Source organism: Homo sapiens, chromosome 22 (assembly GCF_000001405.40).
Source record: "Homo sapiens chromosome 22, GRCh38.p14 Primary Assembly".
Taxonomy (NCBI): Eukaryota; Metazoa; Chordata; class Mammalia; order Primates; family Hominidae; genus Homo; species Homo sapiens.
In genome coordinates this window covers 44,836,032-44,849,266 of record NC_000022.11, presented here as the reverse complement: position 1 = coordinate 44,849,266, position 13,235 = coordinate 44,836,032, and the positions used below count along the sequence as shown (strand labels likewise).

At 53.3% G+C, this 13,235-nt stretch overlaps 2 protein-coding genes across 4 annotated transcripts in view, besides 2 other annotated features; both read right to left on the bottom strand.

Annotated features, from left to right (window-relative positions):
• Positions 1–13,235, bottom strand: part of PRR5-ARHGAP8 (PRR5-ARHGAP8 readthrough) — a 160,581-nt gene that overhangs the window by 13,518 nt on the left and 133,828 nt on the right. Inside the window, exons 11-13 of the mRNA NM_181334.6 lie at positions 3,925–3,998; positions 1,217–1,294; positions 207–335 (exon numbers count right to left, since the gene is read on the bottom strand). Coding sequence (NP_851851.3) covers positions 207–335; positions 1,217–1,294; positions 3,925–3,998 — 281 coding nt within the window. The remainder of the gene's footprint in view (positions 1–206; positions 336–1,216; positions 1,295–3,924; positions 3,999–13,235) is intronic.
• The window catches only part of ARHGAP8 (Rho GTPase activating protein 8), a 110,210-nt gene that overhangs the window by 13,518 nt on the left and 83,457 nt on the right, over positions 1–13,235 (bottom strand). For all 3 annotated transcript variants that reach the window (NM_001017526.2, NM_181335.3, NM_001198726.2), the window contains 3 exons: positions 3,925–3,998; positions 1,217–1,294; positions 207–335 (listed from right to left, as the gene is read on the bottom strand). In NM_001017526.2, the coding sequence (NP_001017526.1) occupies positions 207–335; positions 1,217–1,294; positions 3,925–3,998 (281 nt within the window). The remainder of the gene's footprint in view (positions 1–206; positions 336–1,216; positions 1,295–3,924; positions 3,999–13,235) is intronic.
• Positions 6,731–7,428: an enhancer, noted in NCBI's record as "H3K27ac-H3K4me1 hESC enhancer chr22:45237719-45238416 (GRCh37/hg19 assembly coordinates)". NCBI's record gives its function as "activates a minimal SCP1, AML or CMV promoter by ChIP-STARR-seq in naive H9 embryonic stem cells {active_cell/tissue: H9 hESC(naive)}" and the evidence as "EXISTENCE:reporter gene assay evidence [ECO:0000049][PMID:30033119]".
• Positions 11,741–12,242: an enhancer, noted in NCBI's record as "H3K4me1 hESC enhancer chr22:45232905-45233406 (GRCh37/hg19 assembly coordinates)". NCBI's record gives its function as "activates a minimal SCP1, AML or CMV promoter by ChIP-STARR-seq in primed H9 embryonic stem cells {active_cell/tissue: H9 hESC(primed)}" and the evidence as "EXISTENCE:reporter gene assay evidence [ECO:0000049][PMID:30033119]".

The following is a 13,235-nucleotide window of genomic DNA, read 5'->3' as shown; positions in this document are numbered from 1 at the left end:
CCTCTGCCTTTGGACAGTGTGGACTGGCTGTGCATGGTGGGGGCAGCCCCAACAACCCCCTCTCTTGCCCTGCAGTGCCAGATGGCAACAGGAGGAGGGTGGGTACACGTCACCTCGGCCACCCCAGAGCCTGACCCTGGGCCAGTAGCTGGGGGACAGCATCTGAGGACCAAGCCCCCCACCCCTGCGCCAGGGCAGCTACGCACAGGTGATCCCGAGAATCTGCTCGTAGGCCTGGAAGGTCAGAAGCGGCTGGGGCAGCTCTCGCAGGAAGGTCTTCAGGATCACGGCAGGGATGTGAATGTCCCCGTAGTCGTCAAAGTTCACGGGCTTCCCTGCACACACAACACAGCACTGCTGAGGTCTGCACCCCGGCCTGGGCACTGCCGCTGCAGAACGAGCTCTGAGACACAGGGCGTGAGATGTCCGGATGGGACGCACCTGATGCTGGAGCCATGTGTCCTAGGGATGATGCTGTCCCCACCTAGAAATGGGTGTGCTCTGGCCCCATCAGCCCCTACACTACCCTAACTGCCTCCTCCCGGGCTCCCAGTGGGGACTGGGGTGGGCTGCTGGCTTCTCTGTGGCATGCTGTTGCTCCCGGCTACAATGCCAGCTCTCTGAGGCCAGGTCTGTGGCAGAGATGACACCGCAGGCCCTGGGCCTGAGACAGGCAGGCCTGAGCTGGGCCCCGTGCAGACCTGATGCTCCATGATTGTGTAATGCACAACTGATGACGGGAGCGAGTGGGAGCGAGGGCAAGTCTTGTCAGCAAGACAGCGCCTTCATTAGCGTCAGTGCAATGCATCCTCAGCTCAGAGGCCACTGCCCCTGCCTGCGGGTTACACATGGCAGTTAAGGAAGCCGTGCTGAGCCAATTCGGGGGAGCTGCCAGATAAAAAAAACCAGCTTCCCTGCACTGCAGGGTGTCTCCTGAAAGCACGTGCCACGTGGTGTGGATGGAGAGACCCTAAAGGCAAAATGGCATCATGCGGCCACCATGTCCCAGTGGGGTTGGGGGTCTGGACAAAAGGTCCCCACTCTGGACTACCAGTGGGCCCCTCGATGCCTCCTGGGAAGCTGCCCCCACCCTGAGTGTTTTCTGGGAGTTGGGTGGGTTGCGGGGGCGGTGCTTCCCTGCCTCCGCTCTGAGGCCCCGGAGCGCTGTGCTCGCTGACCAGGCAGCTCGGGGCTCAGGACTGCGGGACACCCTCACCTTGGTTGTAGAGCCTCTGGATCTCGCGGACGGTCTGCACGCTGGCGGATCTCCGGAACAGGCCCTCGGTGCGCAGGCCTGCAGGAGAGGAGCTTCCAGGCATCTCACAGGTCCCAGCCCAAAGGGCTTCCAGGACATTATATGACACTCCCCTGCCCACGGCATCACCCACCTGTGGCTGGCCTCCACACATTTATTTGTTCCTCAAATCCTTTCCATATTCCCCAACCCACCCGATTTCCCACCTCTGTGGTCCATGGAAAGGGAAAGCGGAAATAGACTCTAATCTCAGACAGACCTAGGCTCTAGTCCAGCTCTGCCTACCAGCTGTGTGACCTCAGAGAAAGCTCTCGGCCTCTCTGAGCCTATCTGCCTTGTTTATCTACAGAATAAGGCCATGAGCTCCTGTCTCCAAGGGCTGCAGAGAGGACTGGACACGGTGATGCCCAGCAAGTGCCTGGCACCTGGGAGACGTCCAGACACGTGACTTCCCACAAGAGCTAGGGCTGAGCTGTCCAGCACAGCAGCCAGTAGCTGCACATGGGGATTTAACTTTAATTAAAATTAAATAAAATTAGAAATCTAGTCACTCAATTGCATGAGCCTCATATGAACTGCCCTATTGAGCTACTGCCACAGGGGCTGGTGGCTGCTGTTTAGACAGTGAAGATATAGATGATGTCCAAGTTCAGTTGGGCAATTCTGCTAAAGAGGTGATTGTAATCAAAGAAGAAAACTTGTCTCCATTGTCAGTTTATAAAGAGCATTTTCAGTGCTTGTAATTGGCTCATGAAAGCAGCTGTGGGGTAGAGGGAAGGGCTCCCTCTGGCCAGGCCCCTGCTGGCTTCAGAGCCAGAAAGAGAAACAGGCCTGAGCCTGCCCTTGGGGGGCCTGCGGTGCATGATGGGGGTGCCCCGGAACACCAGGACCTAGGACTGTGGCGCAGGCATCTGGAGGTGCAAGTCTTCTTGGGACTTGCAAGGCCTGACCTCCCCTTCTCCTCCCAACTTCCTCGAAGCCCCGCACGCTCCCGCACTCCCACAGCCACGAGCCCCTTCACCTGCTCTCCTCTCTGGGGCCTTTCTGTCACACGGCATGGCCAGCTTCTCCCCGTCCTCAGAGCTCAGCTCCACTGCCCCTCCCTCAGGGAAGCCCCCCAACAAGGTCAACCCCCCTAACAGGGACCCCGGTCTGGCAGGGCCTTCTCCCTGATGGAAGTCAGCATCTGGGCAGCTCTCGGTGGAATAGCTGCTGCTTCCCCATCCCGTGTGCTCACTTTGATATCCCCAGAGTCTGGCACGAGGGAGGCACGTAGCGAATGCCTCCCAAGTGAATGAGTGAATGATGGGGAGGCGTGAAGAAGGCAGTTCTGCCTGGGAGAGGGGCAGAATTGGAGAGGGCTTCCGGAAAGCAGGACCTAACCGGTAGAGGGCAAGGAGGGGCAGTCCAGGCCGGGGACAGGCAGGCCTCTTGGGGTCCCAGTGTGGGGTGCCCCCCGTACCTGCTCACCTGCCAGCTGAGCATCGTGACTGAGGGAAATGCTGGGGCCGCAGGGTCTGGGGTTTGAGGGAGATGGTCTCCCAGGCCCCCGCCCAGCACATCTGCTCACTGATGCCACCCCCATGTGCATGGACTCTCGTGCCAAAGCACATTTCCTGGGCACCCTGGCCTACAAGTGAGGAGGGGCTCTCCAGGCCCCGCCTGTCTAAAGCAGGTTTTTCCAAGACCACCCACCTGGCCTGCTCCAAAGAGGAAATCAACCCACTCGTAACCAGAAAGGTGCAGGGCTGAGGCGGTGGCTTTAAGAGCTATTGCATGGGAACTCCCCGCCAGATGGAAATGTGAGAAACGGCAGCAGCCAAGGGACCACACGGTGGCGGGGTCTCGGGGCCCACGGTGCTGAGTCCGTGGGCAGAGCTGGGGTCTGCTTTAGGGGGTCTGGCCATGTTAGGGGGATTCCCTGAGGAAGCAACTGTTGAGCCGAGCTCTGGAGGCTGGAGAGGAGCCAGCCCTGCCTTGGTGGTGGGGATGGGGGGGGGCACTCACTTCTTGTCTGACACCCACGCATCTGCGCTGCAGCACCCAGGCTGGAGACCACCCGGCCCACCTAGCACACCTGCAGCTGTGGTGCCAGGAAAGCCTCCCTGGTGCCTGCTCCTCCGTGGGAACCTCTTTCCTCCCATTAAGGTAAAAGCAGCCTCCACGCACCTTCTCCATGGACCTCAGTTCTAGCCTCAGGAGCTGTGGAGAGCCCACAAGGCTCACCCCACTCCAAGTTCTTGACTGCACCCACCCTACTGGCAATGGTATCTGCAAATCAAAGTTGATCCCATCAGAGGAGTCCCCATTTCGAGAGGGCTTCCTACAGACCAGCACTGCCCGAAGTGCTTTGCAGGCACTGTCTCGTTTAGGGGTTACAACAATCCTACAAGTCATGTACGGTTTGTTATTAACCCCACTGGACAGACAAGGGAATGGAGGCCCAGAGAGGGTAACTGCCCCAGGTCACACAGCTAGTACACAGGGGAGACAGGATTCAAACCCAGACCATCCGAGGCCAGAGCCCAGACCTGGAGCCACTGTGCTTGAGCCCCTCCCTTCCTGGTCACACCCCCTGGCTTGTGGGTGCTCAGGATCCAAGACAAACCACCCAGAGAGGTGCACCCAGCAGCCCTCACGTCATCCAGCTGGAGCCGGCCCCGTCTCACCTTTCTCTCTCAGGTACGTCACTGTGAACCTCAGCACAGGGGGGATGAGTTCGCCTTGATTTTTGTCTTTGAGGCTGAGAAAACAGAAAAGAAAGTCGCAGTTTTTACCTGAGCTTGATGGGTGATCACAATGAGAAGAGGCGCTGGTCCTCTCCACACCCCTGTGAAAACACAGGACCCAGGCACTGTCCAGGAAGAGAGAGGTAGGCTCAGCCCTCAGGAAGTAGAAAGTCTGAAGACCAAATAATAAAATGATAGTGCAGTATTTGAGAACTCCATGAAAGGGATATTTATGATACAGGGAAGACATGGGGTTTGGGGAGGGCTTCCCCAGGGGGCAACTTCAGAGCTGGGTTTTGAGGGATGAGTAGGAGCCTGCCAGAGGACAAAAGAGAGAAGGGCATTCTAGACAGGGAAGCCATACTGGGAAGTCCCAGTGGTATGAGATGGCTTGGCTGTGAGGGCAGAATAAGAAGCCCTGGACTGGATATTGATTCAATTAAAAAACTCAGTATGTTATCTGGGTTAACCTGTCTCTTACTTTACTATTTTGAGACAGAGATTCACATAAAGAAATGTTGGCCAGGTGCGGTGGCACACACCTGTAATCCCAGCAGTTTGGGAGGCCAAGGCAGGCGGATCACTTGAGCCCAGGAGTTCAAGAGTAGCCTTGCCAACATGGTGAAACCCTGTCTCTACTAAAAATACAAAAATTAGCTGGATGTGATCGTGTACACCTGTAATCTCAGCTACTCTCCAGGCTGAGGCAGGGGACTCACTTGAACCCATGAGGTGGAGGTTGCAGTGAGCTGAGATTGTGCCACTGCACTCCAGCCTGGGTGATAGAGGGAGACTCCATCTCAAAAAAAATAAAATAAAATAAAATCCAATCTGAGAATCTCTGTCTTTTAATTGGAATGTTTAGGCCACTTAGACTTAATGTAATTATCAATATGGCTAGGTTTGAATCTACTATTTGTTATCTGTTCCTTTTTCCTCTTTTCTTGACTTTATTTTGCTGGCTAATTATTTTTTAGGACTTCATTTTATCCCTCTATTAATATATTAGATGTGGCCGGGCACAGTAGCTCACGCCTGTAATTCCAGCACTTTGGGAGGCCAAAGTGGACAGACCACGAGGTCAGGAGTTCAAGCCTAGCCTGGCCAACATGGTGAAACCCCGTCTCTACTAAAAATGCAAAAATTAGCCAGGCGTGGTGATGCATGCCTGTAATCCCAGCTACTCTGGAGGCTGAGGCAGGAGAATCACTTGAACCCAGGAGGCGGAAGTTGCAGGGAGCCAAGATCGCACCACTGCACTCCAAGTGTGGATGACAGAGCAAGACTTCAACTCTCTCCCTCTTCTCTCTATGTATATATGCTGTATCTTTTTATTTGTAGTGACCCTAGTTTTACATTATACATATTTAATGTAATACAGTCTATTTCAAATGATATTATACCATTCTACTTATAGTATAAGTCTCATATCCCATCCTTTTTTTTTTTTTTTTTTTTGAGACAAGGTCTTACCCTGTTGCCCAGGTTGGAGTACAGCGGTGTGATCTTGGCTAGCTGCAGCCTTGACCTCCTGGGCTCAAGCAATACTTTCACCTTAGCCTCCCAAGTAGCTGGGGCTACAGGCATGTGCCACCATGCCATGCCAGTTAATTTTTTGTAGAGACAGGGTTTTGTCATGTTGTCCAGGCTGGTCTTGAACTCCTGAGCTCAAGCAATCCACCTGCCTTGGCCTCCCAAAGTCCTGGGATTACAGGCATGAGCCACTGGGCCAGGCCTGTCTTTATAATATAATACATTATCCAGTACTCTAACATGTTTTAAGCCTCATACTACTTTATTATTTTTATTTAAACAGTCAATCTACTTTCAAAGATATTCTTAAAAATGAGAAAATCTATTTATTTTCTATTTACACATATTTGCCATTTTCAGCATGCTTCATTCCTTTGTGAGGATCCCAATTTCTATTTGGCATTCTATTTCTTTGTTCTGCAGAGCTTCCCTTAACATTTCTTATAGTGTAGTTCTGCTGAAAATACATTCTCTCAGCTTTGGTTTATCTGAAAGAGTTTTTACTGGGCATTTATTTCTGAAATACACAGCTTTACCGCTTGCAAAATGCATTGTTTCACTGGAAATAATGTGGTGGGCAAGGCAGGCTACTGTTACCCACTTCATGGATAAGGAAAAGGGGTCCAGAGAGAGAAAGGCTTCCGTGCCTGTCCACAGCTGGCCTCGTGAGGGGTTTACATTCCAACTGCCCACCTCTGGATGCAGGGTCCTCTCCCTGATCCTTAGAGTCCACAGGTCATCAACAACGTAAACCTTCACCAAGATGAAAATGAAAACGTAGCCCATGGCATACATTCTCATCAAAACAGAACACAATGCTGGACACACACAAAGACAAACACAGGCCCACCTGGGGTCAAAGTATTCGACTGGGTCTCCCTGGCCTTGCTGGGGCTGACTGTGATGTGAGCCTTTGCACTGAGACAACTCTAAGATGCTGCTTTTCTCTCTTGTTGCAAGAGAGCTCCTGGCGTCCCCCAGGCCCTGCCAACCTCCTGATGCTCAGCCCTGGCTCTGAGGGTCTATGTCACCCCTGGTGGCCCCCAAGGAAGCCAGGCTGGGCTCCTGCCTGCCAGTGCCAGCTGGCCCTCACCTCCAGCTGACGCATCAGCTATGTTTGCACATTGCACGTGAGTGAGTGTTAGGATGAGGGACTTTCCTCTCGCCACCAGCCCCACCTGCCTGAGCCACTGAGGTCTGCCTGTGACCCCCGGCTTCAGGCTCTACAAAGCACGTGACCTTTCTGGAGGGTGATTCCACGACAACCAAAAACCTTACAAACAGTCACACTGTTTGATCCAGTGAATCTATGTCTAGGAATTCATCCCAAGGAAATGACTGGGGATGTGTATGCAAGACCTGTGCTGTTTTTGTTTGTTTGTTTGTTTGTTTTGAGATGGAGTCTCGCTCTGTCCCCCAGGCTGGAGTGCAGTGGCGCAATCTCTGCTCACTGCAACCTCCACCTCCTGAGTTGAAGCAATTCTCCTGCCTCAGCCTCCCGAGTAGCTGGGACTACAGGCACGCACCACCATGCCCAGCTAATTTTTGTATTTTTAGTAGAGACGGGGTTTCACCATGTTGGCCAGGATGATCTCTATCTCTTGACCATGTGATCCGCCCGCCCCAGCCTCCCAAAGTGCTGGGATTATAGGCATGAGCCACTGCGCTAAGCCTGTGCCTGGTTTTAACCCTTCAAATCAAGTGTCCAACACAGGGCCTGAGACCCAGCAAACAGTACATACTTGGGGGAGGATGAGAAGCAGATTTTGGCAGTGCTCCCCGCACCTGGTGCTGATCAGGAGCCACACGGGAGTAGACTGTGGTGCCGTCAACAAGCGTCCCCTTCCTCTCTGTGTCACCTTCATTTCCTGGAGGGCAGTCACCTCCCTGCCCCACTGACTCTGGGCTGGGCCATGTGCCCTGCTGTGGGACGTGAGCAGACACAACATATACCACGTCCAAGGAGACAGCGTAGTTTGGCGTGGCCACTCTTATTCCAGTCCCCACCCTGAGAATGGCATGTCAAGAGGCTACTTCTTCAGCCCGGTACCAAAATGCAGGTACATGGAGGTGGGCCGAGCCCCTGCTGGCCTGTCTACCTCCCAACCTTAGCGAGAAAGAAACATGTTGCAGCCCAGTGAGACTGTTATGCAGCATAATTAGCAAAAGCTGACTGGTGTGCACAGGAAGAGAGATACCCTGAGCGCAGTCCGGTACCGCAGAGGAGGCATTTTAGGGATACCCCAAAAAGGAAGTTGGATTTGGCCACGTGGAGCTAGGAGTGCACTTGGAAGGCAGGGAGCAGGCGTGAGAGCTACTCGACACCTCTGCTTCTACTTCCTCTCCTGTCACATGGGCGGGATACTAGCACCTGCCTCCCAGGGTGGGCAGGCGGGTGAGAATTAAATGAGAATGGACCCCAGCACGCAGAAAACATGCAGTCTATGTGACTTGTTACAGTACAATCGGCAAATCACGCTCGCACAGAGACTTAACAATTCTAAAAAAGAAAAAATACATGGAAACTTTACTCAGATTCTTGGCCATGACGCGTACCTGAATCTTAACGTTGACTTGGATCAGTGCTTGGCATCTTCCCTCCCCCGTTCCCTACGAGGGCCACGGCAGATTCCACCCTGCCAGGCAGGCACACACGCTTCCTCCTTGCTCTCTATGGGGCCAATAAATGTAAACGGGACTCCCCTGAAAGGCAGCCCTGCATGTATGAGGCCTGCAGAGCCAAGTTTTGGGGCCATGGAGCTGGCAGTGCCTGGCACGGCAGGTACTCACCAGGTACTCAGTGAGGCGCTTATCCGGCCACAAGCCCCTTCCCAGCCAGACCTCCCCAAAGGCCTGGCTCACCTCAGACACTCCAGGCAGACAGAGTGCTCTTTTAAAAGCGACCCCAGGGAGCTTCCCCTTTCTCCACGCGAGGACGCGGCCGGGAGGCACCATCTATGAACCAGGAAGCAGGTCCTCATCCTACACCGAATCCTCATCACGAAAAGGGATGTGCCGGCTTCGTTGAGCTGTGAGCCAACGGCACTGACAAAAATCATTCCAACCAGGCCACACAGAGGCGGTCCACGTCACAGCTGAACAAACGGGCCCAGCGAGCTACAGTTACTTGCCCGAATCTGGTGGCACCTTGATCTTAGACTCATAGAGCCTCCAGCTCTATGAGAAGTAAATTTCCGTTGTTTATAAACCACTCTGTTTATGGTACTTTGTCATAGCAACCGGAATAGACTAAGATACCGGACAGGATCACAAAGACCCTTGCAGAGGATCTAGTGAGCAGAAGGGAGAGGGGATGTAACAAGGGAAGCTGGGCCAGAGTGGTGTGCTGTGAAAAAGATGGGAGGGAGGGCTGGGAGCCAAGGAGCATAGGCGCCTCTGGAAACTAGAAGAGAAACAGATACCCCCCAGAACCTCCAGAAAAAATGCAGCCCTGCCGAGATCCTGATTTCAGGACTTGTGACCTCCAGAATCGCAAGAAAATAAATATGTGTTACTTTAAGCCACTGTGACAGCAGCCACAGGTCCCCAAGGACCCTGTGTGGATCAACAGAATTTGACAGAAGCAACTGTTCAGTTTCTGGGCCAGGTCCTTCTCTCCTGTCCTAAAGAGCCTGACTCTTCCCACCTGTGATCTCGGGAACCTTTTTGCTGGAAACCCTGAGCTGCCCTGGAAGAAGCACAGCTACCGTGGGAACATCAGGCTGGGGACACTGCGGGCAGGTGCACTGGCCAACAGTCCCCACTGAGGCCAGAGGTGCAGGAACATAAGGCATGTCTTGGATGATCCTAGCCAGCCACCAGCTGGACACCACCACGTGCCCTCTGCCAACGCCCCATGGGCAAACTCGCCTGGCCGAGTTCTGCTCAAATTCCACAAACACCAGGAGAAGTGTGACGTGGTTGCTGTCGGAAACCACTAAGTCCTGGAGAATCTGTGAAGTGGTAACAGGTAACGGAAGACTCGGTCATGATGAAAAGGGCCCGAATGAAACCCACCGGGCTGAGTGTGAAGTCTTTCCTCCACGTGTGTATCGTCTGCCTCATTTCCACCATCGTTTCATGAGCCCAAGTTAGAGATCAGAGGACGACACTAGGAGAGGCCAGGTGACCAGCTCAAGGTCCCACAATTGAGAGGTGGCACAGGGAGGCAAGCCCGGCCTGGGTTTCCATCTCTGCTCCTCCTGCTGGGCTCCACGGCCCCCTGGGAACGTCTCTATGTCAGATGATTTATCAGGTGCACATGGTATCGAGTGTGCTTTAGTTTTATTCCAAGATTTACAGAGGAATCTGCTAATCCACTTAAACGGTGATTAGAACTCTGTCCACAGCCATAAGGCTTCTGCATATCCAATCTCGATGGGTGGTTTGGTTTCATGGCAATTTTGCTTTTGCTGAAGCTTCACGTTGGGGACACTGAGCAGCAATCCACAGCTCCCCGAGGTGCCCTGAGGGCTGGCGTGACCTTCAGGAGGTCCTGCTGTTGCAGGAATACGGACCTGGCCCCCTGCCTCCTTCCCATCTTGGTTTCCTCTCTGGGAGGGAGAAGGCGTCCTGGGGCCCACAGAGACAGTGTCCCTGGGGAGGGAGGAATGTGGCAGGCAGGTCCTTTTCTCCCAGGATGTGCCAAAGTTACAGGCTCTTTTCCTCCTCTCTGGTTCCTTAGGAAGCCAGACAGACCCTTTCAAACCCTGTCCCTCCCTTCCCGTAGGAGCTAGATCACCACCGGCCAGTTTCCTTATCCTCTCCAGCTTCAGTTTCTCCATTTGGAAAGCAGAGATGCTGGCGCTCTCTCCCCAAGGTCTGCAAATATTAAACAACAAGGGAGGTGCAGGCTTTGCTGAGCTACAAGCCAATGGCACTGACGAAAATTGTCCCAATGCCAGGGGCTGAGCAGCCTCCCAGGCTGCACACAGGTGGTCCATGTCACAGATGAACAAATGGGCCCAGTGAGCTACAGTGACTTATCCGGGTTCACGCAGCTGGAGAGCCTGCATCCATTGATTCCAAAGCCCTGGCTGGCTACTGTTCCCGGGGAGGGAGACCCACTGAGTCCTACTCAACAGGCGGGACAATGTGGAGTTATGAGGACGAGTTCCTGAAAGACCCCTTTGCCTACTGCTTTGTCTCTGTGCTGTCCTTTAAAAGTAGACTCTCAGATGGGGCATGGTGGCTCACGCCTATAATCCTAGCACTTTGGGAGGCCGGGGTGGGTGGATCACTTGAGGTCAGGAATTCCGGACCAGCCTGGGCAATATGGAGAAACCCTGTTTCTACTACCAAATGCAAAAATTAAGGCCGGGTACGGTGGCTCACGCCTGTAGTCCCAGCACTTTGGGAGGCAGACATGGGCAGATCACGAGGTCAGGAGTTCGAGACCAGCCTGACCAACATGGTGAAACCCTGTCTCTACTAAAAATGCAAAAATTAGCCAGGTGTGGTGGCACGTGCCTGTAATCCCAGCTACTTAGGAGGTTGAGGCAGGAGAATTGCTTGAACCCGGGAGGCGGAGGTTGCAGTGAGCCAAGATCGTGCCATCACATTCCAGCCTGGGCAACAGAGCAAGACTCCGTCTTCAAAAAAAAAAAAAATTAGCCAGGCATGGTGGCGCACTCCTGTAATCTCAGCTACTTGGGATGCTGAGGCAGAAGAATCATTTGAACCCGGGAGGTGGAGGCTGCAGCGAGCTGAGACTGTGCCACTGCACTCCAGCCTAGGAGACAGAGCAAGACTCCATCTCAAAATAAATAAATAATAAAATAAAAGACTCTCAGAGCAGGAAGAGACTCTGAGATCATCCAGCCCAACCTCCTCAGGCAGATGAGAAAACTGAGGTCCCCAAAGAGGAGGGACTGGCCCAGAGCTGCCGTGCTCCCAGCCAAGCGGGTTTTCCACTGCCCGTGCATTTGAGGAGCACCCACATCTACTCTGAGGCTCTCACAGCTAGCGGAAGAACAGGGCCCCGGCATCGAATTACTACTCTCCATAGAGCAGAAACCCACAATTTGGGTTTCTCCTCCCCTGCCCATCCGCTACTTGCTGGCTCGGAGAGAGAGGCTTGTTCAATGGACTGACAGAGTCAGTGCTGTGCATAGCAATGACCCCAGGGGACTCTGGTTGGCAGATGTGCTGTGTTTCCTGGCTGGGTGGGGATGCCCAGGGCGCCGGTGAATCGTATCACACCACGTTCATCTCGTGCATCTCAATGTGCACGGGCCAGGGTCACGTCTCAGCAAGGATGCACAAACTGCATTAAACCCACACCATGAACTAAAGTTCCAAGATGCATGCTGGGCAGGAGGACTCTGGAGCACAGAGCACAGTTTGTTGGTCAGCACAGCGTTCTCTGTGGCCAGTGACTCCCACCTGGCTTTCCGACAGTCGTCCACCCACTGGAGGGCATCGGGGACTCTCAGCATAGAATTCTTGCTTGTACCCCTCCCCTCGGGAGATGTGCTTAGAGTAATTCAGAGCATGTTTTTTCTCTGGTTTTGCATGCGAGGAATGCACAAATAAGGAGAAATTGTGACTAATTAAAAACAGTAGGGGCTGGGTGCAGTGGCTCACGCCTGTAATCCCAGCACTTTGGGAGGCCAAGGTGGGCGGATCACCTGAGGTCGGGAATTCGAGACCAGCCTAGCCAACATGGTGAAACCCCGTTTCTACCAAAAATACAAAAATTAGCCAGGTACGGTGGCACGCGCCTGTAGTCCCAGCTACTCAGGAGGCTGGGGCAGGAGAATTGCTTGAAACAGGGAGGTGGATGTTGCACTGAGACGAGATCGAGATCGTGCCACTGCACTCCAACCTGGGTGACAGAGTGAGCCTCTGCCTCAAAACAAACAAACAAAACAAAACAAGAAAGAAAGAAACAGGAGGGAAGGGGGAGGGAGGAATGGCAACCTGAAATTACAGTGATAATGGGGAGTGCTGAGCAGGCCTGCCTCAGCTGGGCACCCAGGCTTTTCCCAACCCTCTGAGATGGTCCTGCATCTTCTAAATACAACACGTCCCCTCCCAATATTTGAAAGGGGATGAATGGCTGCAGCTTGCACCACTGACCTGCAAAGTTCTCAGTCACAGAGTCAGCCAGGGAGGTCCTGGATGCCCAGAGAAATGGGCAGTGCATGTGAACGATCACAGTGACCACTGTGCACTGAGGACCTACTGTGTACTGAGGACCTACTGTGCACCACGTGCAATACTAAAGCCCACTCACTGCATCACTGTGCCCCCATTTTTATAGAGGACAAAACTGAGGCTCAGGCAAATTATTATGTCTGGAGTCACACAGCCTAGGGTTGACTAGAGCCAGGGTTCAAGTTAAAATCTGACTTCAAAGTCCTCATTATACCTGGGTTCAAAAGACAAGCAGTGTGACAATACACCTGTAATCCCAGCTACTCAGGAGGCTGAGGCAGGAACATTAGTTGGCCCCAGGAGTTTGAAACCAACCTGAGCAACATAGTGAGACCCTGTCTCAAAAGAAAGAAAGAAAAAAAAAAGGTACAGATCACAGTCTTGCATTTAGAGTTGTGATTTGGTATGAGGTGGAGCTGTCGTGAGGTGAAAGGTGGCAACAAGGCACTGGAATCCTGTAGTCTCACATCTGCAGGGCTGCCCCTCTTTGCAGGCAGATGGGGAATGAGAAACTGCTTGGTATCCTTAGTGAGGTCAGTCCCCAAAACTCTAATGGGGTA